General features: G+C 34.2%; 1 protein-coding gene across 2 annotated transcripts in view; it reads right to left on the bottom strand.

The window, feature by feature from the left end:
- SEMA3E (semaphorin 3E) overlaps positions 4712 to 23543 on the bottom strand; it is a 285902-nt gene continuing 267070 nt past the window's right edge. For both annotated transcript variants that reach the window (NM_012431.3, NM_001178129.2), the window contains exon 17: positions 4712 to 9512. In NM_012431.3, the coding sequence (NP_036563.1) occupies positions 9060 to 9512 (453 nt within the window). In that variant the 3' untranslated portion in view covers positions 4712 to 9059. The remainder of the gene's footprint in view (positions 9513 to 23543) is intronic.

Below are 23543 nucleotides of genomic sequence, written 5' to 3' on the forward strand. Positions count from 1 at the left end.
GACAAAAGCTGGAAACAACTAAAATGTCCATCAAAATTTTCTATATCCATTATAGTAGAATACTGCTCAGTAATATAAATGAGTAAACTATTGGGAAACTAAAAAATATGGAAGAATTTGGAAAGAATGATGTTGAGTTAAAGAAGCTAGGCAAATAGAGGACAAACTGCATGTTTCTATGTATATGATTATATAAAATGCAAACTAATCAATAGTGTCAGAAAACAGAAGAGTGGTTTCCTGGGTAGTGGATGAGGAAGTGGAGAGAGAAACTAATTTAAAAGGGCACAAGAAGCTTTAGGGATAATAGATATATTCATTATTTTGACAGTGGTGGGCTCACAGATGTATAGGTAAGTCAAAATTTACCAAATCATATACTTTAAATTTGTGCAGTTTATTTCACATCAACTGTACATCAATAAACTTGTAAAAAATTTAAAGAAAAGGTAATTTGGTCTCCATACTAAAGTGTTGGATTTTTCTGCAGAAGATATTTGAACATGGTCTTTTCATTGAAATCCCATTTTAAAGGATGAAACATTGTTATAAATGGTATGTGTTTCAAAATCATCTGGTCCAACCACCTCATTTTACATGTTTGGAAGCTGAAACATATTTTACATGTTTGGAAGCAAAGAAACGAAGAGGTTTTTCTAGTTCTATCAAAATGAGAACTAGAGCTCTGATCTTCTGGCTCAGGCCAGGGCTCCTTTCAGACATTCTGGAGATTTTGCTTTGTAGTCCATGAGACTAAATTTCCTAGCAGTGACAGGAACAGATGTTCTAAGAGTGCTCCTGAAGTGTCCCCACTTTTGCCATCTGTTCTTCAAAGATTGCACAACAAGAAAAAAATGTACTCTCTTTTTATGTCTTGTAAAATGTAACTGAATATTCTTTGTGGTCTTCATATTTTTCCCATTTTGTTGTAATTATTTATAATGAATCTATCCATGATTAACCTATCCTCAGAAAGCATTCTCAAATATGACTTTCTCATAAACTATTGTAGCAGAATTTCAAACATGTAGAATGCACCAAAAACAAAACAAAACAAAACAAAAAAACCCTGATTTTTTAACATTGTCTGAGTATAGTATTTGGTCAAAACTTGGATTCTTAGGTTGGGAGTTAATTTTCTAAATTTTCATTTCAGGAAGTAGGAAAAGCCTATCCCACACCAGTGTTACTTATTTTAATTTAAATGTTGGTTTTCCACCTACTTTTTGTTACCTCAAAAGATGATGTCTGTAGCTGATCTTGACGTTTTTCTAACAAACAGCTGTCTCTCCCTCTCTCCCGCTCTCTTTCTTACAGATATACTTTGTCTTCTATTATAAGATTAGAAATGAGCTTTTCCAGATTTCCTGATAAGGGTATTTACCCAATCCTGGTATGGAAGTCTTGTGGGGCTTTGGTGTGGTTGGGGTAGAGGATGTGCAGATAATCTTAAGTACTACCATTTGTACCTGTGTGGGCGTAAAAAGTAGATACCTAGAGCACCTGCCTGAGGACAAAGCCAATTCACAGGACAGCAGAGAGGAGACATGGAAATTACCTGAGCTTTGGAAAATGTTCTTCTGGTCACCGAATCAACCAGCCCTGAGACTGCCTTCCTTTGGATTTCTAGTTACATTAGGGAATACATATCCTCTTCATTTAAATAACTTCTTATTGGTATTTTGTTACTTGAATCTAAATGATGTTATCCTCTGACTGATTTGTTCATTCTTCATCCACTCATTCATTTATTCTTTTATTCAGCTAAAGCAATGAACTTTATGTTTTCATCCTGGGCTAGAGGAGCAATGAACCAAGATATCTATAGATTGCTATAATGAATGCAAGTTTTCATTCTGATTATAGTCACATTCTGAGGCTCTGCTGGGACATATACAATATTTTATGTTAAATTTCATCCCATAAGATGTACAGTGTGTTCTTTACAAGAATGCACAACATTTGATGAACAGAATTGTTTTCTCTTCTCATTCTGCATCTTCTTTTTACCTTTAAAAAGTCATTTAACATCATTGGTCATATGTCTTAATTTATAATGTGATACATTTTACTAGTACAGTTGTTCTTGACCTTTGGGTCAATTATCCTTTTAATAATTAATAAAAGCTATGGACCTTCAGAATGTCATACATGAGGCTACTTTTCATCACTTTTCCCGGGTATTATTATTTACTTAACTTTAGATATCTTGAGATGTTTTGAAATATTTTGTTTGTGGGTTCTAGTATTTCTGTTTATCCTTAATCTCCCCACCTATCTCTGTGCTTTCTTGTGTGTATTAATCTGCTTAGTCTGCTATAACAAAATGTCATAGACTGGGTGCCTTAAACAACAGACACATTTCTCACAGTTGTGGAGGCTGGGAAGTCCAAGATCAAGGTACCAGCAGATTTGGTTCCTGGTGAGGGTCATCTTCCTGGTTTGCAGACGGTAACTTTCCAGTCTTCTCTCTCTCTCTCTCTTTCTCTCTCTCTCTCTCTCTCTTTGTCTCTCTCTCCCTGTCTCTCTCTCCCTCCCTCCCTTCCTCTTCTTATAAAGCTACTAATCCCATCATGAGGTCCCCATTCTCATGACCTCATCTAACCATAATTACCCTCCCCAAACTCCATCTCCAAATACTACCACATTGGGGGTCAGGACTTCAACATGTGAATTAGGGGTGACCAGAGAGATGTGACAGAATTCAGTCTTTAGTACTTTGCCTGTAGCTTTTACTTTTGCGTCCACCTCCTTATCCCTACCTCAGGGCTACTAAACTAGAAAAGGCTCTTTGGCTATTCTAGGCTCTAGTACTGAGATGACTTGGGCGTCTCATATTCCAGGGATACCAGGTCATGAAGAGAAGTGAAGAGGAAAAGGGGGCTAAGTCAGTCCTGGGACCTGCAATGAGTCTGTATCCTAGCCTTAGCTGGCTTTACATGCAGCTCCTATATGACAAAACCCCAGGCAATGGTAGGTACCCAGATTTCAGGCTTCTGTATCTGCCCAAAGCAGTGAGAAGTCCTAACATTTCACCTGGCATCTATCATATGTATTCCTTTCATTGTTCAGGATCTGGGCTTCCTGCTGCCACTATCTTCTGCTGAACACGTGTCCAGATTTATGGCTTCAAGCCCAATCATTGCCTTGCATTTATGTTCCATTACTGGCTCATAAACCATATCAACCATGCAAAAGTCATGAATGGCTTCAAATAGAGTTATACAAGGATTGAATTTGTGGTAGAAAGATGACTTTGGCTGCTGGGTAAAGATGGATGAGAAGAAGGCAAATGTAGGGGCAGATTCATAAAGATGTTATGCTTCTATGTTGATCTCTTTCTTTTTTATTAAACTATTTCTCTTTTTATATACCATTCATTATTGCTACATTATTGCAACTCCTCTGAACCAAAGCCTGGCTTCTAAATGTCATCCTGACCAGGAGTCTCAACATTCATAATTAGAAGTCCAGTTGATTCTTGAACAATGCAGGTTTGAACTGCAAAGGCACGTCTATATGTGAATTGTTTTCAACCAAATGCATATGGAAAATAAAGTATTTATAAGATATGAAACCCACATATACAGAGGCAGGAGACTTTTCTTGTATTTTAATTCACAGGGCTGACCGGAAGACTTGAGTATTCATGAATTTTGGTATACATGGGAGCCCTGGACCTAATCCCCTGTGTATACCAACTGTATTTCTGAAAGAATAAATGCTTGTATTAAACTACACGGTTGTTGCATTTCATGCACTATAAAGTAAAATGAAGATTTGGGATTTTTTTCCAATAAACACTGCAAACATAGTCTCTAAAAACATAATTTAATTTTTATTTATCTGTGTAATAATGGGATTATTAACATTTCTAGACTTTATACAGTGCCTGGTTCAGTGCCTGGCATACTGTTTTTGAATACAAAGATGGGTGGATACCTTTGTTTCCTTTGAATAGTAAGCAACAGATTTCTAGTTACCATAACTGTCTCTCTTCTTCCTCTGACTAAAGACTGAAAATGTATCTGAAGAACAGTTTCAATTCGTTCATCAAATACTATACTAAAAGTAGGCCTATATTATAAATGAATGCAAGGTTGAAATATGATAAACAACTACCATTAATGTCATTGTCACATCATAAAGCTGCCAGAGACACACTCCATGAGCTGCTGCCAATTTTTTCTTTTAAAACATTGTAACTAATTACTTACCAATACAATAAAATTTGCCTCAGAAACAAAATGCGCCCCCAAAAGTTTATTTAACACCACACTTCGTTTAAATGGCCTTCCCAAGGTCTTATAAAAATAACAGAGAAAATAGCAATTCAGATACATTAAGCTAGAACTTGAGGCTTGCAAAAATCGTAAACATTCAACGAGTTACCCTTCTAAAAACTTTCATTTTTCATATCTCTTATCTGGATGATGAAGCTTTGAAAGGAATTTCTGGCTGCTGGTCCTAGCAACACGAGGTTGCATAAATAAACCCAACTGCTGCAAGGTAATGAAGTTAACAGACTTTTTCCTCTGTAGGAAACTTGGCTTATAAATATCCCAGGAAAGAAAACTGAATTCTTTTCTAACTTCTAAAAAAAATCCAAAAAAAACAGTGGTAGTCTGGCATTGTATGTTTACATTTAGGCTTAATATAAAAAACTTGAGTTCAGTTGGCAAAAACTTAGAAAATGCTCCCCAGACGACACTTGAGAGTTTAGCAAATATTTATTTCTTTTTCATCGAAGTTGAGCCAAATAGAGATTGTACATAATGGTACATAGCGCGTAGTGGCAGATCCACGTTGTAGTCAAAGAGACACACTGTTAATGGTCCCTGCAGCTTGCCACCAGATGCTAATAAGTCTCATGGCTTAGAATCAGTGAAAAGAAAGAATATGGCACACACTGTTATGAACCCAGCCAAGCAAATAAAAGGATACCATACAGAGAAGAACACTCCCATATAGTGCTCTAGCTTATAAGTAAGCCATTTAAACACAAGCAGAACACAATTTATAATGAAAGCCAAAATATAAAGCTATCCTTCCAAGAAAAAAAAAATAAACATACCAGCTTAAATAACACTGCTACAATCAGCTGAGTGTTTGTGGAAAATCTATTATTTATATCTGATTCAAATGCAACAGTTGTTGGCCTGAAAAATGAGTCCTTTTTTAAAATGGAACTCAGTGTGACGCTCTGCTGTAAGAAAAAGAGTATGGACTTCTTATTATAAATGTTGCATTTTCTCTTGGAATCCAAATATCTATACAATACTAAGTACTTTTCTTAATATGTTTATTAGGCTACAGGTGTCACAGGTCAATTCATTTTTTTTTTTTTTTTTTTTTTTTTTTTTTTTTTTTTTTTTTTTTGAGACGGAGTCTCGCTCTGTCGCCCAGGCCGGACTGCGGACTGCAGTGGCGCAATCTCGGCTCACTGCAAGCTCCGCTTCCCGGGTTCACGCCATTCTCCTGCCTCAGCCTCCCAAGTAGCTGGGACTACAGGCGCCCGCCACCGCGCCCGGCTAATTTTTTGTATTTTTAGTAGAGACGGGGTTTCACCTTGTTAGCCAGGATGGTCTCGATCTCCTGACCTCATGATCCACCCGCCTCGGCCTCCCAAAGTGCTGGGATTACAGGCGTGAGCCACCGCGCCCGGCCAGGTCAATTCATTTTTAAGGACAACAGCTGCTGTTTGTTTCATGCTTAACACCAACACTCAAAATGACTTATAGTATTTTACAAATTTTACAAATGTTTATAATTACTATGAAGATTTACAAAACCCTAAAACCTATAGCAAATATCGAACACTCATTACAAACATTCTAAGTATTTAACTAATTTTAGATAGAAAAAACTCTAAAATATGTATGGAATTGCCACTTACTAAACAGGCAGACTTTCTGTTCCCTTTTTTCTAGAGCTCTTATTAGTGTTTATCCTTATTTTTAATCCCTGTTTCTCCAAGTTGATAGCTTTGCTCTGAAATATTCAGTAATTCACACAAAAGAAAAAATTAGCAATATAGAATTATAGACGTGGAATCACGAAGTAAAATCTTTTTTGTTAACAAATCTGGATCTCTTGCCCAATGGGTGACGTTGTGCTGAAGGAGGAGGTGAATGGGCATTGTTTTATGTCAAAACTAAGTCTATCCACAGGTCCTCTCCTGTAACAAAGATAGAAGAGGTCTAAAGAAGCAGGAGACCGGCCCTCGATGGAGGTGCCTCTTAGAAATTAGATGAGTGGTTATGATTTTTGCTCAATGTTGCTAGAGAGCATGGTTTCTCTCCTTCTACAAGAAAGAGAAAAATGGGGAAAATTTGGTGAGATGAAGGGTGAACTCTTAATTCCTCCAAGTCTTGTAGGTATCTAAGTATGTGCCCTCCCTGAGTTCAGAGAAGATCCATCCATTTTTAATTTTTAAAGCCTGGGCATTTCTCACAACAGATTCTGAATTTGAATTAATTCTAACCTCAGACAGAACAAAAGACTGGGGATGTATTTTTGTGGTATGTTTTAGATTCTCAAGAAGGACAGAACAGCATAGATTGATTTATTTGTATTTTGATAGGGCAGTGAAGATTTATTTTATAGTATGTGAGGGGTGTGTGTGTGTGTGTGTTGGGAGAGAGAGGGAGAAACTGAGAAAATGGTGGGACATGAAACATATCCTTGGAAACTGCTTTCTCTCTCCCTTCGTCTTTCTCTCTCCCTCCCTCTTCTTTCCCATTTCTCTTCAGTACTGCCATAAACAGGCGGGAAGCAAGATTATATACATATATATGTACATATGTGTGTGTATAATTATATGTAAAATTTAGTGGTCTCACCAAATTGTGGACTTGGGCCCTCAAAGTTTTCTTATCAATTTTCTTTCAAATTAGCATTGAATAAACTTTCTTTGGGTTTGATTTATTTTCCTATAATAAATTTTAGCATTTTATGTAAAATGTTTCTTTTCTGGTTAATAGTCACTTTATTTTAATCAAACGCTCTTCAGTATATGGACTTCTTATGACTTGTGTCATAGAAAAGCTATTTTCCTCTGCCTATTGCTTCAGTTACCAAATATTTAGTTTACAAGTTACACCATTGTTATCATCATTAACTACTTGTCTGTGTTATTGCAATTAAAATGATAACTATTTATGTCTTATCTGCCTTTTTAATTTTAAAATTCAGATACAGGAGAAAATCCTGCTTTCTTTCTTGTGTGTTAATGGAAGGCAATTTTCAATAAAGTGTACTTAATTGACTTATTTGTTCAGACATAAACTTTGTAAGGCCCCTGTGATCTGTGTTTGTGGTTCTATTTCTCCAAATTGAGCAGGCTTTTACTGAATATAGTTTTTAAAAATACATTTCACTACATAGTCTTTTCAGTTATTATTTAATGGCAGTAATGACCTCCAGTGGATTCTTGGGTAAATAGCAAGTGGAATTTTCAGAGGATGTCAATTTTCAGTATATTTGCATTTCTTAGATCTTTTGAAGCATGGTGACTTATCTGAATAAACTTAAATTTTTCTTAAAATATTTATGTATTTGTTCATTTTACAATGAAATTGCAAGTGATTATGAGCACTTTAACTTAAATGTATAACCTATAAGCTAACTTTGAAAACTGAAATAAACACTGTTTAAGATTAATATCTAAATAAATGTTCATAATGGTTCTCCTGTGTAATCCACTTGCTTTCAATTTTTATTTAGGTGAAAACATCTTACAAAATTTCATATTTTAGAAAGGTAATTGCTAAATATTTAATAGAAGAAGGAAAGACTTTGATAAATAAACATTCTTAAAAATACAATTGTTTTTTATAACATTTAAGAGAGAGGTAAAAATGCTCTGAATATCTCAGTAGTTAAGTGAACTCATGAAACAATTTTCTGTCTCTTAATATAAAAGAGAGAAGAAAATTTGATATTTGAGAGCAAATCACTTTAATATTTTTTTCACAAATAAAACACGGTTGTTATAGTATATTTTAGATTTCAGCGAAGATTATTTAGAAACTTAAAATTTGGAGCTTTAATAGATTTTCAGTGCTGCAAAATCTTCATTTTTGACTTGTGAGATAAATTATCTATAAACAATACTTTCATATTAAAGTATGATACAAGGATTAACATGTTTTTTATTTCAGTTATTTGTTTCTGCAAATGAACTTGATGTATCCATGTACCTACTGATAATCTGCTTTCAAATCTTTCCTAAACAGATATCCGTCTGTAGAGAAAAAAGAAATGTGTGAGAATATAATTTTTTTTACCACAAGAGGGAAGCAAAAATCTTTTACAGTAGTTAGAATCCTAACTATAACTTCATCTGATTTGACATTCTTTCTGAGATTTGATATCTTTCTGAGAAGTTACCTTAGTTTTTATTTCCACAGTGAGTGAAAATTAAAGACTGTGTTATAAAGCAAAAATAGTGTGAATGTACTTTAATGAATATTTTACGAAGGGCACAAGCCTCAGAATGACATTTTTCCTTTCATGGGTTACAGCACTCACAACACACCTGCTACTTAACACTCATGGCTTAAACAACACTAATAAAATAATCCTTAAAGAGTACAGAAAGTTCACATGAGAATGCCAAAGTATCTTGTATTCTGCATATCTTACATTGTGATGGAAAAGAAAAATTCAGAAATATTAAAACATATTTAGTTTTATATTTACCATGATTATAAGTCTCCAATTTTTCTTCAATATTCTAATAATCTTGTCTTCCAAAAGTAAAATAATAATTTTCACAGAAAAGCAGCCAAGTACTGAAAATAACAGCTACAGTTGTTTTTTGATAAACATAATGAGAAACCATTAAGCAATGCATTTATTTAAAAAATTAGTTAATTTTATGTAAAGTTTATCCAGTCAAATGAGTATGTAGAATAATTTATTATAACACCTTCATAGTCATTCCTGTATTACAGAAATCTCTTTTAAGTAATGCAAAGAAGTTGGATGATTTATTTTTTTACTTTTTTACTTTCCAAATATAAATTCTTCAAAAGACAGTAGATAGTCTCACCCCATCAGGAGTCCAGCGTGTGCCTGGGCAGGCGGTAATGCTCAGGTTTGGAACGGAGCTTCTTTTCCTGAGGGTTGGCATACTTCCACTTGGAGGGTGACATTTTAAGCTTTTTCCTCTTTCTATCTGTGCACCATACTTTCTCGCAGTATTCTTCCACTCTCTGGAAGTTGCTATAACCGATCAGCTGCAAGAATTCCTTGTACCATGGTTTTGCTCCCTGCGAGATGCTACTCTGAGCAGGACAAGGCATCCTGTGATGCCTGTCCTCCTCATCGTCCTTGTTAAACATATCCTCGACTTTCTCCTCTTCCACTACCTCCAAGGTGATTTTACGGACCGTATGGACAAAGCTATGCTCTACTGTCTGGCAAAAATAGGTCCCAGCATCTGATTTGTGTAACCTTAGGAAGAGTAAACCAAGGTCCATCTTAACCACTCTGTCATCTGTCTTCACCTGCAAAAACAAAAAAGTAAATGGCACTGAAGTACACAGGAGAGAAAATAACAATCCATCACCCTTTCCACTACCTATCTTGAATTTTTTCATTTTCACTGTCACATAATGAAACCCTGAAAATCATACATACACAAAAATGCTAAATAATTACATCTCTCTCTCTCTCTCTGTGTGTGTGTGTGTGTGTGTGTGTGTGTATTCTGAAGATATTTACATTGGTGGTCACTTCATATCAATGACCTTGAGATCATTTTATATCAATACTGTAAAGTAAGAGGGTTTTCTCCCTAATGATTCAATTAATCATTAGAAAAAATACATTTCAATATAGCAGTCACAGTAAGAGTGAAAGGAAAATTTCTAAAATTTATTTTTTAACATTTGTTTTTCAATGGACAGAACAAATACCACTTCCCACATTCTTTCAGGAATGATTATGCCCTCCAGATGGTAGTGACCAATGTTTCTACAAGGACCTCTCTTTGGAGAACTGGGCTCCTTTCACTTTGTCGTCTTACAAAAAAATTCATCAGTTAATCAGTTCAGTGAACATCCCTTACATTTTCATAGGCTGTCCTTTACAAGAGATTAAAAAATAAACAAGTAAAATCCAGTTCCTGCTCTAAAGGATCAGACGGAATAGCAAATATTAAGTTTCAATATACCTTCAGTGCTCAAATATCTTTTGTCATGTATTTGATATAATACTCACATTATTTCTATAAATAAATAATTATAATTCAGAGTAAGAAGAGCAAGATAAGGCTTTCAACGAATAGCTCATGTTTTATCACAAATAGCTGGACTAGTAAGTAAATGATTTGACATTAGGCAGAGTTAGAGTCAAATATTGCCACCACTATTTATTGTGTGATTTAGGGCATTCATGTATGTTTCTTGCCTTAGTTTTCTTTGTAAAGTGGAGATAACTTAATAACCTGAAAAATTGTTGTGAAGATTAAAGAAAATAGGTGAGGATTTTTTGCACAGTGCTATCAATAGCTACCTCTACCTTTCTACTATACATTCATCTAACCAAAAACAATCATGTTTTCCTGTGGCCCAGGATCTTACGATAATGGTATAAAGGTGGTTCACAGTATGCTGACAGATTTCACCTTTGAGAATACAAAAATGAAAGCAATATTCTTCTTTGTCAATATAAAAGAAATGTAGAGGCAATAATTACAAACAATTTGGCAATAAAGGCTATTAATGATAAGCATGTTTTTGTCCCTGTGATAGGTCCTGGCCAGGCATGCCAGACTCAGCTCTTTCCTGCCTTGATGAGACCTGGCATAGATGAAGTTTCAATGTGATTACTCAGGTGTAGAAACTGGTATCCACAAACCACGATTTGTGGAACAGATGGCAAAATGTAGTAATATAGTAAGAAATAGGGATGTTATTTTTAAGTTATGTGGTGCCCCAAAGGCATTTTTTTCAGCCATTATAAGTAAGTTAATAACTCAGAAGCTTCAGAGTGTCCTAGTTGGGCTAATAAAAGAGTCTCCATAAGTCTTTTGCAGGTGCTTCCCTTGACTTGGTGGGACCATGTCCTGGTAGGCAGAATGCTGTAGCCATTAACTGGAGAGTGAAATCCTCCAGTGAGGAACCAAGAAGACCCTCAAAGCAAAATCATCTTCACCACATAGAAACAATCTGTTTTACTGATACATTTTTCTCAGAATATCCTTAGCAACTGTTATAGGCAACTAACTTTTAAAGGACTTTGTGTACCTCTGCTTGTTTACTCATGCCTCCAGGCCAGGCTTCTGAACAAACTTATTTTCCAGCACTAGCTTTCTCCATAACTTTACCATCTATTGCAACCTATGACCACCCCGTGCCTCACATGATACTGACTCTGAAGTAAGCCTCCAGTGTTTTAAAATTTATCGCTGCATTTGATATGGATGAAATCTGCCTCCTTAAACATCTTTTATTTTCTGTGAGGTATGTGCCATTATACTGTCCTTATTTTCCTTACTCTTTCTTGGTTTCTTCTGCAGATTTCTCATTACCTTAAGGTGCAATCCTCCATCCTTCACTGATCTTACATTTTATTTCCATCCATTTGATAGTACTTTTATTCCTTTGTTTCAGCCAGCTTCCCTAAAATGGTACATCTTACACATAGATAATCCATTGTTTTGTGTTTTCTGTTAGTTAAAAACCAAAAACAATGGATTTGGTGTTTTTAATTAAAGAAACATAAATAACCCTTTAATATGTACAATTCAGTATCTTCCCACTCAAACTGCCCTCCATTTACTAACTTTCCTATTTCTGGCCATGACATCATTATTCTTCTAGTCTCCCTATCCTCAATTGTTGATCGTTTATACTTCTCTCTCATTATATGCTATCACAAATTCCTATTTACATTTCTTCAGTGGTGACCCTTAAAACACCCCTTCCTCATCACCATTTTTGCTGCAATGTTAAATTCTCATACCTTATAACTGTCTCTTTGACCTTATCTCATGACAAACTCTCCAAATCTTCCCTTTTTTTCTGTTTCTTCTTTCATACCCAGCTTGATTCTGTTTCAGGATCTCTGTGTATATCTCTGCCTTCAGATACTTCTTTAAGGCTGATTAATTCTCATCCTGCGTAACTGAATTAAATATCATCTTCCCAAACTGGCCTTTCTCACACCCTGTAAAAGTGTCCTCCCTCCTTTATTACCTTCGTTTCGCCTGTTAACCTTCATATACTTGAGCATGCAACATTACATACAAGTATCTAACAATAGTCCTTCAATTAAATTTCCTGTGTCATCTTTCCCCCCTTATTTCAACAAATGGATACTAATTTACTCTTCTTTAAAGCTCACTTTCTTTTGTCAACATCCTGATTTAGAACTTATTCAGATCTCTATTTCTTGCCTGAGCAGTAAGAATTGCTCCATTAACCAGATCCTGCTTTTGTAAATCTAGAACCCAAAATTGCTTAATGTAGTGTTTCTCAAACTAGCGTTGGTGGAAGAGGTGCATTTGTGGGGATGTGGAGATCAGCTCTTTTTTCTATAAGGATTTTTTAAATTATTGTGTTTATTGACACAAAAATCAATATGAATTAATAAACTATATTTGGAATCATGTGAAAGATCAATCTCAGTGTTAGTGTTTATGTTTATCATAGATTCTGAACCACTTTCAAAGCCATGTTCCCAAATGATAAAAAGAACAAAGATGGTATAATATGTTAATGATAAGTTACAGCGAAATGAAAATGAAACAACATCCCCATGTAGTAATACACATAAAAAGTTTCAAGGTCACTTGAATAAAGTGTTGGGAGGATGGAGTCATCACATGGTATAGCTACAGGCAGAAAGTGTTATACATACACATATGTGGCAATCTGTGTCTCATCTTACAACCATAGAGATACATATTTCAGTAAAAACAAAACACACAGTAAATAAACATTTTAATGATGCGTCAATTTGTTTATAATTTATCTTTAATTTTGGTTCAATATTTTAATAAAAGCTACAAGCGTAAGGAATGTATGTGTTGTTTTATTCTTGTGAATATTTAATGAACATATTAATATAAATCGTGCTAGCAGCCCAGGAAGATGTTTCACTTTTAAGGGCAGGTGGTGGGGGCAACCTGTACATTACCAGAATCAACCCCTCCTTTTCATAATTCTTTATGCTGCCATTCCCGTGTATCGCCACCCTGCTTTCCACTCACAGCTCTTACTCTGAACATACTCTTTTTCCCTTAAATAAACTCCTTTCTACTGTCTACCAATCCATTTGTTTTTTCATTTCCTTCCAGGCTTAACTAAACTTTCCCTTCCTTTATAAATACTTCCTTTATAGCCCCTAAAGGTATTTTGCTTCTTTTTGTAACACAATACCATTTACATTTGTAGCACAAAAGCTGTTATTTATATTTCTTTTCAAATTATTTTTCCACACAAGTTTCATCTCTTCAAACATATAAGTTTTTAAAGGGCAAAGACCTATTTCTTTATTCTTCTGAATTATCCTATAATGAGTAAAGAATTCAGAAGATAGTGTAAAATGAGAACATACTAATTCATTTTTAGAGCACAAACATGTATAGCAATGGGGTATATCCATACAGACATATCCAAAAGATATTAAAAACTTCCAGGTAAATCCAATAATAATTTGAATAAGAAGGAGCAAACATGGTTTCAGGAGCACTTAGTAACTGATGAAAGAGGGCTACATCACAGATACGTCTTAGGACATTGCCTTTACCTGAAAAAAAAAATGCATACAAACATCCTTATTGAATATGATCTTTTGTTGTCTCTGTTATATCTCCTGTGAGAGTGAATAATACATGAGAAAATATTAAAGTGATCTAGCCTAGTTTCCAGCATATAGCAAGCAGTTTATGAAAGTGATTTAAAAGAAAGCAAAAAGCAAAACTAAAAATAAATACAAATTCTTGACCACTAGAATTAGGGTTGTTTGTTTGTTGCTTGTTTTTTCAAGTTTGGTAAGTTAAAAAAGCAGGGTTTAAAAAAAATCAGAAACCCAAGTTTGAGAAACACTGTATTATGTACATATAAAGTCCAGATTGGTCAAGATACAAGATACGGAATCATGACAATTACCATAGAAATTGTCCTACATTGTTTATTTCCATGTTAGAGATAGTGCCTCTCAGAATTTTGATCTACACTCTTGGTTATGACAAATACACATTACAAAGACAGGAATATAAGCTGTTTTCATGCTCGGTCTGGAGGGCCATACATTATGTAGGTTAAATCACCTAGAAAGTTAGAGGTATCTTACATGGACTATAAATACCCAAAAATATAAAATGACTTAGAAATTTGTATCTGAAGTTCTTCCACAATTTAGTCTTTCCCTGTCAGTTTACTTGGGTACCTCCAACATCAAATCTTGATTACAGAATTGTTTTCATCCATCTGTGTTTTTTTCTACGTCTGCAGACCAGATTTTCTCTGTCAAGAAGATAGTGCATAATACATCATTTCTATCAAATATTCTTATAGGCAATCTATATAAATACAAAATTTTTGCTGAAAACGGTTTTATTATTCTTAGCTATAAAGATTGATTCAGTATGTTTTATAATTTCTAGTAAAAAAAAAAGTAATTGAACAAAGAACTCTGAACATCTGGTAGCTGGTCAGGAAGAAGCAGTTATTTCCATGTCTACCAACCATATGGTTCCATACTTTCACAGGAAAAGGACAGACATAGGCCTTGAATTGATTTAGTTGAGAATACATTTAATAATAAAATCAGTTTTAGTTAAGAAATAGAGGAAACAATTTATATATTTGTTTGTTTATTTATCTGGCCTGCCTTTGACCAATTTTATACATATACACACATACATATGTATATATATTTATTTATTTTACTTACAGAAAATATACCTAATATGACAGAGCATAAAAATAGAAATTTATTTTATTAAAAACACTTTCCAACATAAACCTGATATATGATACTGATGGTTACCTAGTAGACAGGATGAATTGTTTAAAAGCTCATTCGGGGAAACCTATCACACTACGTGGAGAAGAACAAATGTGGAAAAACAACGCTTATTTTAATACAAGATTATGCAGGAAAGAAAGTCATTATAAATAACTCAAAACCATAACATGTAAAACATGTTATATTCAAAAACATACACGATATCAAAGGAGAAATTTAGGGCATTTATATTCAAGAATGAATTAATGTCTAGAAGAGGCAAAAGAGTTTTTCAAGTCAACAAAAAGAGAAATAAAAAAGAAAAAATGGAAAAAGCATATAAATGGGCACTTCAGAGAAGGAGAAACCCAAATGTTTAGTAAGAATGCAAGTTAACATTCAACCTCACTAGTAAGGTTAGAAACTCAAATTTAGGCCGGGCGCGGTGTTTCACGCCTGTAATCCCAGCACTTTGGGAGGCTGAGGCAGGCAGATCACCTGAGGTTGGGAGTTCGAGACCAGCATGACCAACATGCAGAAACCCCATCTCTACTAAAAATACAAAATTAGCCAGGTGTGGTGGCATATGGGTGTAAACCCAGCTACTCGGGAGGCTGAGGCAAGAGATTTGCTTGAACCCAGGAGGCAGAGGTTGCGATAAGCCGAGATCACGCCATTGCACTCCAGCCTGGGTTACAAGACCAAAACTGCGTCTCAAAAAAAAAAAAAAAAAAAAAAGACAGAAAGAAAGAAATTCAAATTTAAACAAGACGTTACCCTATAGCCAGAAGAAAGACAAAACTTAGAAAACAAGATAATACCAAATGTTGGTGAGCATGTGGGGAAACAGGAACCCACATGAACTGCTTTGGGAGTCCAGATGGCACAGATATCCTGAGAGCAAGCTGACAATAATTACATAAATGAAGGATGCTGACAAATAATAATGCAGAAACTTCCACTCAGATCTATAAGGGGTTATTTGCAGAGATGACTGTCAAAGATGTGATAGCAAGAGTTAATTACACTCTGGATGTCCACATTTAGGGGAATTAAGAATGAATTAAGAGCAATGTATGCATGCTATGGTATGTTAAGTAACAGTCAAGCAATGAAATAGAGACACAAACAGCAACAGGGATAAACTGTAAAAACATAGTGCTGAGTTCACAAAGTAAGAAGGAGAATATAATCTATAATATAATACATTTACTTTTACAGTTCATGCATACTCAATATGTTATATACCTGTTCAATTTGCAAACATACTATTGGACTTATTCCAATCATTCAACAGATGCATATGGAGAAACAAGGATGAAAGTAGAAAAAGGAGGTCCAGGAAAAACAAAATCAAACAAGAGAAATTTGTATAAACCAATCATCACAATGTACCATAAACTAAATCGTATGATTAAGTAAATTATGCATCTGAAGTGAAAAAAAACAAGAGCCAAAATCAAGCAAGCAAAAAATAAAAACCAAAAACAAAAACTCCTGTTGTTTGTAATGATTAATGCGGTTTGACAACCAATAAACTAAGTTTGTAAAGAGAGGTTTGTGATTAATGGTTTATTCAAATTTTCCATAGATAAGAATCTCAGACTGAAGAGAAATTAAGTTTAAAAAGAATGAAGGTAAAGACAATGTTTGAAAACAAAATTGCACAATATAAGGAACTGTACAACAACTATAATTGAAGTAGAAATTCAATACTAAATTTCCTAGTAACCAAAGGAAAGAAGAAAGTATGATAAATCCTAAGATTTAAAATGTCTCTAAAATATATTTTTAAAATTACTCCTTATGATAAGTACATCTTTCCTGGCACTGAGACTTGAGAAAAATCTCTCTGCATGTCCTTATAAAAAGAGAGGGAGGTTTCCAACAACAGCACCATAATAAATACATTTCCTTTAGGCAACATCTCAGTGTAGGGTGAAGAGATAATGCCTGATAATAGTTCAATATTATAGCTATTCTGTAGAGTTAAAACAATGTAGTCCAGATATACAGTTCTATACTGGGATATCTTCATGCACACGCATATTTTTATGATCTGGAAGACCATATAAATTATAATTTATACTAGAACAAAAGGAACTTGCAAGTGAAAGGAATTGGTATTTTGGAGTATCTACTGTACATGTGTGCATTGGGCTTTCTGCATTACCATGTTATCCGGTTTAATCAGATGCACAAAGCTAGAATGGTGTCAGTGGCATGAGACTTAGATCCATAACTGATATCATAGATCTAAGAGAAAATGTTTTAATTTTGAAATATACTCAATATTCTCCTGGAAAATTAACAGAACAGAGTTCAGTTAAAAACTCTAGATTCATTCCTCTTGTTATGACCATAAGTTGTTTTATATTCTCCATTTATACAATAGGAACTCTGTCTCCGCCATTGTAAAAGCAAGAAACATGAAATTAATGGGCTAGCCTCCTAATTATTGTGCAACTAAAAAATGAGATAAATGATATTATACAAATATGTTTGTCAAGGCTAGAAAAGTAAATTCTGAATATTTACCTGTTGTAAAGAGTTGTTAGTTTAGAAAGATGAGCACATTTTTTAAATAGACTGAAAAAGAATGCCAAAACTACGAAACAGATGGTTCAAATGAGGCAAGAGTTCATGCACTTTACATTATAAAAACAAGAAAAACAAAGAAATAATATTAATGGGGAACAAAAACTGATGCTTTCAGTGTTGTGCATAAAGATAAAAATGTAAACTTATGGCTGGCTTTGATCCCTTGGAGTTACTACCATAGGATAGCATTGGTAAAAGTTAGGAAAATATGAGTCATGTAACAAACAAAATGGTAAAATAAAAAGGAGATTTTACTTCATAATTCTCCTAGCTTCGATGACATAACCCAATATTAAAAGTTGTAATTTGTGCACTCCATTTTTCATTGTTTCATTTTTGTAGAAGCTGTCTCCATAACGCATTGAATTATCAATAAAATTATGTTTTATTTTAGACTATAGAAACTTAGCACAGAGGCAATGAACTCTAAGTTATGTGGAATGAGCTGCTCATTGATAAGCTAACCATGGTTATTAGATTACTCAACAGCGTTTAATTGACTTTGGTGAATTTATTCTACCTTGTAAGTAGTCTGAAGGCAGAGTTGAAAAATGCCAATTTTGGTATTGAGTAAAACAAAAAATTTATAGCAAAGCACAATTAAAGTTTAAGAGTTTTTCTGTCAATATACATTCTTTTTTGCATTTACTACAATAAACATGCATATTTGTGCATTATGTAAGCAGTCTATATAATGCATACAATTAACTATTTTAAAGTGATACACTTTATTTTTAAGACACAGAAACACATATTTCCTCTTAAATAGAGAATCCACAATAAAAAGATCAATAATGATCATGGAAAAAATAATTCTTTCATGCTTACCAAAGAGATCTACAAATTATAATGCTGGTCTTATGGGCCAGCAGTTTTCTTGTCTGCCTTACACCACCCCAAAATAGGCATAGATGATATTTTATGTGTCTTGAGTTTGCCCCCAAATTCCCCTACAGGAGATTTGTGTAAATTGATTTAACTCACTCCTAGAACTCAATCTCATTTATTGTGTCTTTGGGATATACTTAGATTTTGTCAGCAAATGACTGAACTCCAAAAGAATGTATTCCAAGAAATTATTCACATTGCTTGATTTTATTGAAAATCCATTGCAATGAAATTTTAGTTTTAGTTTCAGAACAAAGTGAGAGCTAACTTTTGCACAAAAAGACTTTTTCCCCCCAAAATAGAGGCATTTTTCACAATAATATTCATTTTATAGGGCTTTACTTGTGTATGCATTTTCATTTCAGCCTTTAAATCAGGGATCAAAAACTTTTTCTGTAAAGAGCTATATAGTGAATAATTTTGGCTTTGCAAGTCCTGTGGTCTCTGTTGTAGCTACTCGACTTTGCAGTTGTAGCCTAAAAACAGCCACAGACTTTAGGTAAACAAATGGGTGTGGCAGTTTTCAAATACAGTTTTATTTACGATAGGCAGAGGGCCAGATTTGGCCCCCAAGTCTTTGGTTTTTCAATTTCTGCTTTAAATAATTGTCAGGTTCAGGGGAACCTACTTTTAAAAAAAATATGGATTAAAAATAACATATTCCTAAGACAGAACATTTAAAATGTGTATGAAATTGAAGTGAGGAATTAGGTACTAATCTTCTGAGCAGCTTGAAGAAGCCATGGTTTTCTTTACTATAACTGAAATTACACACAATCACTAATAACCATTTACATTTAAATAAATAATGCATATTTAAATTTTTCCTCATTTACTCAGTTTTAAAATGTAGTGCTTATCCATTTTATAGAAAGAGAAATGCATACAGAAATACTTCAACTATATGACCTTAACTATATGTCTCAACAAGAATGAATTTCTCCACTTAGGGATGTTACTCAGTATTAAAATTTTTGTAGTTATTATGGAGGTTCATAAATTCAAGTATGTGGAATTGCAGAAATTGAGTCTTCATAAACCAGGGTATAGTGGTGATTTGGCTATAATTTTAACAGTTTTGTCCTCTGCTATTACAGAAAAAAATGATTTATACACCCTTCATAGAAGGAAGATTTAGGCTTGTATTTCAGATTAAAACTATATGTGGAAATATATATAGCCACTGAATTTAAATGAAGATAGAAGACCTTTGGAACTGCTAAACTTAACTTCTGTTGATGAAATTACATTATCCACATAAATGAATCATTTTATTTTCTCCTAATTCAGAGAGTGAAGAGTCTCTGTTTTCCTTCTAAGAATTTACCCCTTAAATTTTGCCTGTGATTATATTCTCTCCCACATGTTCTTTATTTTGCTTCATCAACTAGTTGCACATTTCTTCTTTATAGCTACTTCCTTTCAACCTATAAACATGACCAAGTCACCTTTTTACTAAAAAGAAAACAAAACAAAATTTATTTCTACTCTTGTCTACCTTTGTGGATCTCTCTCTTTGTCATTCGAATATTTTGGTAGAGTACACTAAACTAGCAGTTTCTGGTTCAACAGAGCACCATTCATCACTTAACCTGTTATTAGATGAATCGTGCCTTAACATCCCACTTCACACATTATCCCTGGAAACTTGGTCCTCGTTTTATGCATTGTTCAAAGAATATTGTTTAATATATCTTATCCAATTCCTTTTTTCCTGGTTTTATTACACCACACCCTCCTAATTTCACTGTTTCTACTTATTTAAGCCATACAGCTCTGGAGGTACTAACTAGTTTGTATTTTGTGCCATTTACTTAACTTTAGTAAATTAGCACAACCTTTATGAAAAACAATATAGAGATTTCTCAAAGAACTAAAAATAGGATTACCATTCAATCTGGCAACCCCACTACTAGGAATATACCTAAAGGGAAAGAACTCATTATATCAAAATGATACCTCCATTCATATGTTTATCACAGCATTATTCACAGCAATAAAGATATGGAATCAACCTGAATGTCTGTCAATGGATGATTGGATAAAGAAAACGTGGCATATATGTGCTATGGAATACTACTCAGCCATTAAAAACAAATGAAATAATGTCTTTCATAGCAACATGGATGGAACTGGAGGACATTATCATGAGTGAAATAACTCAAACGAAAGTCAAATACTGCACTCTCACTTATAAATGGAAGCTAAACAGTGAGTACAATTGGATATATGGAGTGGAATACTAGATGCTGGAGGCTCCAAAAGGTGGGAGGGTGAGAGGTAGATGAGGATCGAAAAATTACCTATTGGGTATAATGCTCACTATTTGGGTGATGGGTACACTAAAAGGCCAGAGTCACCACTATGCAATGTAATAAATATGCACCTGTAACCCCCAAATTTGTAAAAGTAATTTAAAAACTACTAGCTACCTCAGAGAAGTTTTGTTAGTTCTAAATAAGTTACTACATATAAAGCACTTAGAATAGCATGGCATATAGTAAGCACTAAATGAATGCTAACTATAATTACAACTTATTTTCTACTTTTACTTTCTCTTTTTTAGTTTGTCTTCTAACTTTTCCTTAAATATGTGTTTTCCCCTTGCTTTTGGAGTTAGTTCACTTTGCTTTTTATTTCATCACTCTCTAAGGTAAGCTATACTAGAGGAGGCATCACTGCATTGTGTCTAAGGGCCCCAAATTAAAACCAGACTGTCTGGGCTCAAATGCAAACTGACTTCACAAGCTGTGTAATCTTATGCAAGTAACTCAGTCTCTCTGTGCTTCAATTTTTTAAATCTGTAAAGTAGAAACAATAAAAATATCTCCTTCATGGGACTGTTGCAAGGATTAAAAATATTAATCATGCTTGGTACACAGTAAGTCATATTTAAGTACCGATTGGTGCTATATTCTTCTTACTTTTATTAATTCCCCTGAAATTGATACTACATTTTTTTCTGATGTCTCTCCAACATCTCTTGCCATGCCAAATCTTCCATTGGGTTTTATATTCCTGAACACTGATACACAGCAGGACAGCTCCACCTGAATGATTTATAAGAGCTTCCAATTCAACACAGCCAAAAGTTAACTCAACAACTTTCTCCCAAACGTGCTTCTTCTCCTGTATTATTGGAATCATGTTACTGTGCCATTAGCCACACAGACACTCAAACAATAAACATGTGAATATTTTGTGATTGCTTCTCTTTTTTCTCAAATATGAAATCCACTTAATATTATCTCATAAAAATTGAAACCTGTCTTCTCCCTTTCTACTAATACTGTTTAGTTCATGTGGCACAAAATTTTTTCAATAACTATTGAAATATCATCCTAAATGTTCTTGACATTCTGTTTATCTCCTAAGTCTGTGTGCCAGTTTCTAGAATAATTTGTGTACACAGTCAAGCTAAGTTGTTCTCATTGGCTTAGAGACAAACTGAAATGGATTCCTTGATCTGTCTACTCATTTTTGCATCCTCATTTCTAGCCATGATTTACATGTACCATATTGTTTTTCATCTTGTAACATAAGCTAACATTATTCTCTCTACTAATTACCCTCTACTCATCCTTTAAGATGTGGCTCAAATGTCATCTCTGCCATGAATCGTTTCCCAGTTGGTTATTATGCCACCACCCTACCCAATCTCTTGGTTGAGACAATTTTCTTTTTCCTTGGTTTCAACAGAATCTTTAAGGAACACATATAATTATCTGTTTGCACTCTTGTCTTTATTACAAGGCTGTAAACTTCACAAGAGCTAAGATGTATTTATTCATGGCCTATTAAAGTAGGCTCCGAGTAGATATTTACTGAGTTCAAAACACCAATTGCAGACAGTTGAACAGAGAGAAGAGAACAGAAGGTCCAAAATAGTATTCCATCTGAGATGCTAAACAGCCTTCACATTTCTTAATAGTGAAAAATATAGCAAAGCACATTGCTACAATGTGTATGAGGCAATCACTTGCAAATCATCTGGTCTTGAAGGCATGAACACATTAAGAGTTGTTTTTAAGCATGAAGATTTATACTTAATACTGTGTGTTCCTATCACCTCAATGACTACCTACTTCCACCTTTATCCCCATCCCAACATACTATAATCTTAATACAATAACCAAAGTGATCTTTTTAAATACAAATGTTAATGATGTCACAGCTCTGCTGAAAATACACAATGGTTTCCTTTTTAATTCAGAACACCAAAACCCTATGAAATGGCTATAGGTCCCTGCGTGAGCTTTTCCTTGACCTCACCTCTCTGGTTCATGGTCTATTAGTCTCCCTACTGCTCACTAACCTCCAGTCACACTGCTCTTCACTCAGCTGTTCTTTGAGTATATCACATATGCTCCTATCTCAAGAGTCTTAGCATCTGCTGTTCCCATTGTCCAGAAAGTTTTTATCTCATACTGTTACATGACCTATGCCCTCACTTTTTTCAGATTTTTTTTCCAAATGTCACTTTTATGGTGACCTTCTTAGTGAGGCCTTCTATGGCCACCCTTTTAAAATTCTAACCTCTCCCTATAATTTAATCTCCCTTGCATTTTTTTCTTTATCATTATCTGATATATTTAATATCATTCTTAGTCATTATTGTTATTATTTTCTTTCCACATTCTTCAGAATATAAGTTCTATAAGGCAGGACATAGTAAGTGCTTAATAAATAAATTCAAACAAATGAATAAAACATTTCTTTTAGTGAAAAAACACCCAATAAAATTAGATGGAGTACTCTGTATTTTATATCTACATAGGCTCAAATGGTGGCTCACATTTTCCTTGATATAGAAGTCATCTTGTACTACCAATAGGCATATAGTAGAAGCTTGAAAAGGAAATTTGAGAATGGAAATACATTGATGTCTATATTGTGTATGTTGTGTAACAATGGTTCCTGGCATCAGTGCTTAGAGTGGCGATGGTTCAAATTATGGGCAGGTTCTCTGGCATCTGACAATGAGGAGTAATGCCTTTGTCATTAAGCCTGCAGCAGCATGCTCCACTCAACTCTGACAAAGAAAAATCTATATAAGGATCAATCTGACATCAGGAGCATTTTTTAGAAAT

Source organism: Homo sapiens, chromosome 7 (genome assembly GCF_000001405.40).
Source record: "Homo sapiens chromosome 7, GRCh38.p14 Primary Assembly".
Classification (NCBI taxonomy): domain Eukaryota; kingdom Metazoa; phylum Chordata; class Mammalia; order Primates; family Hominidae; genus Homo; species Homo sapiens.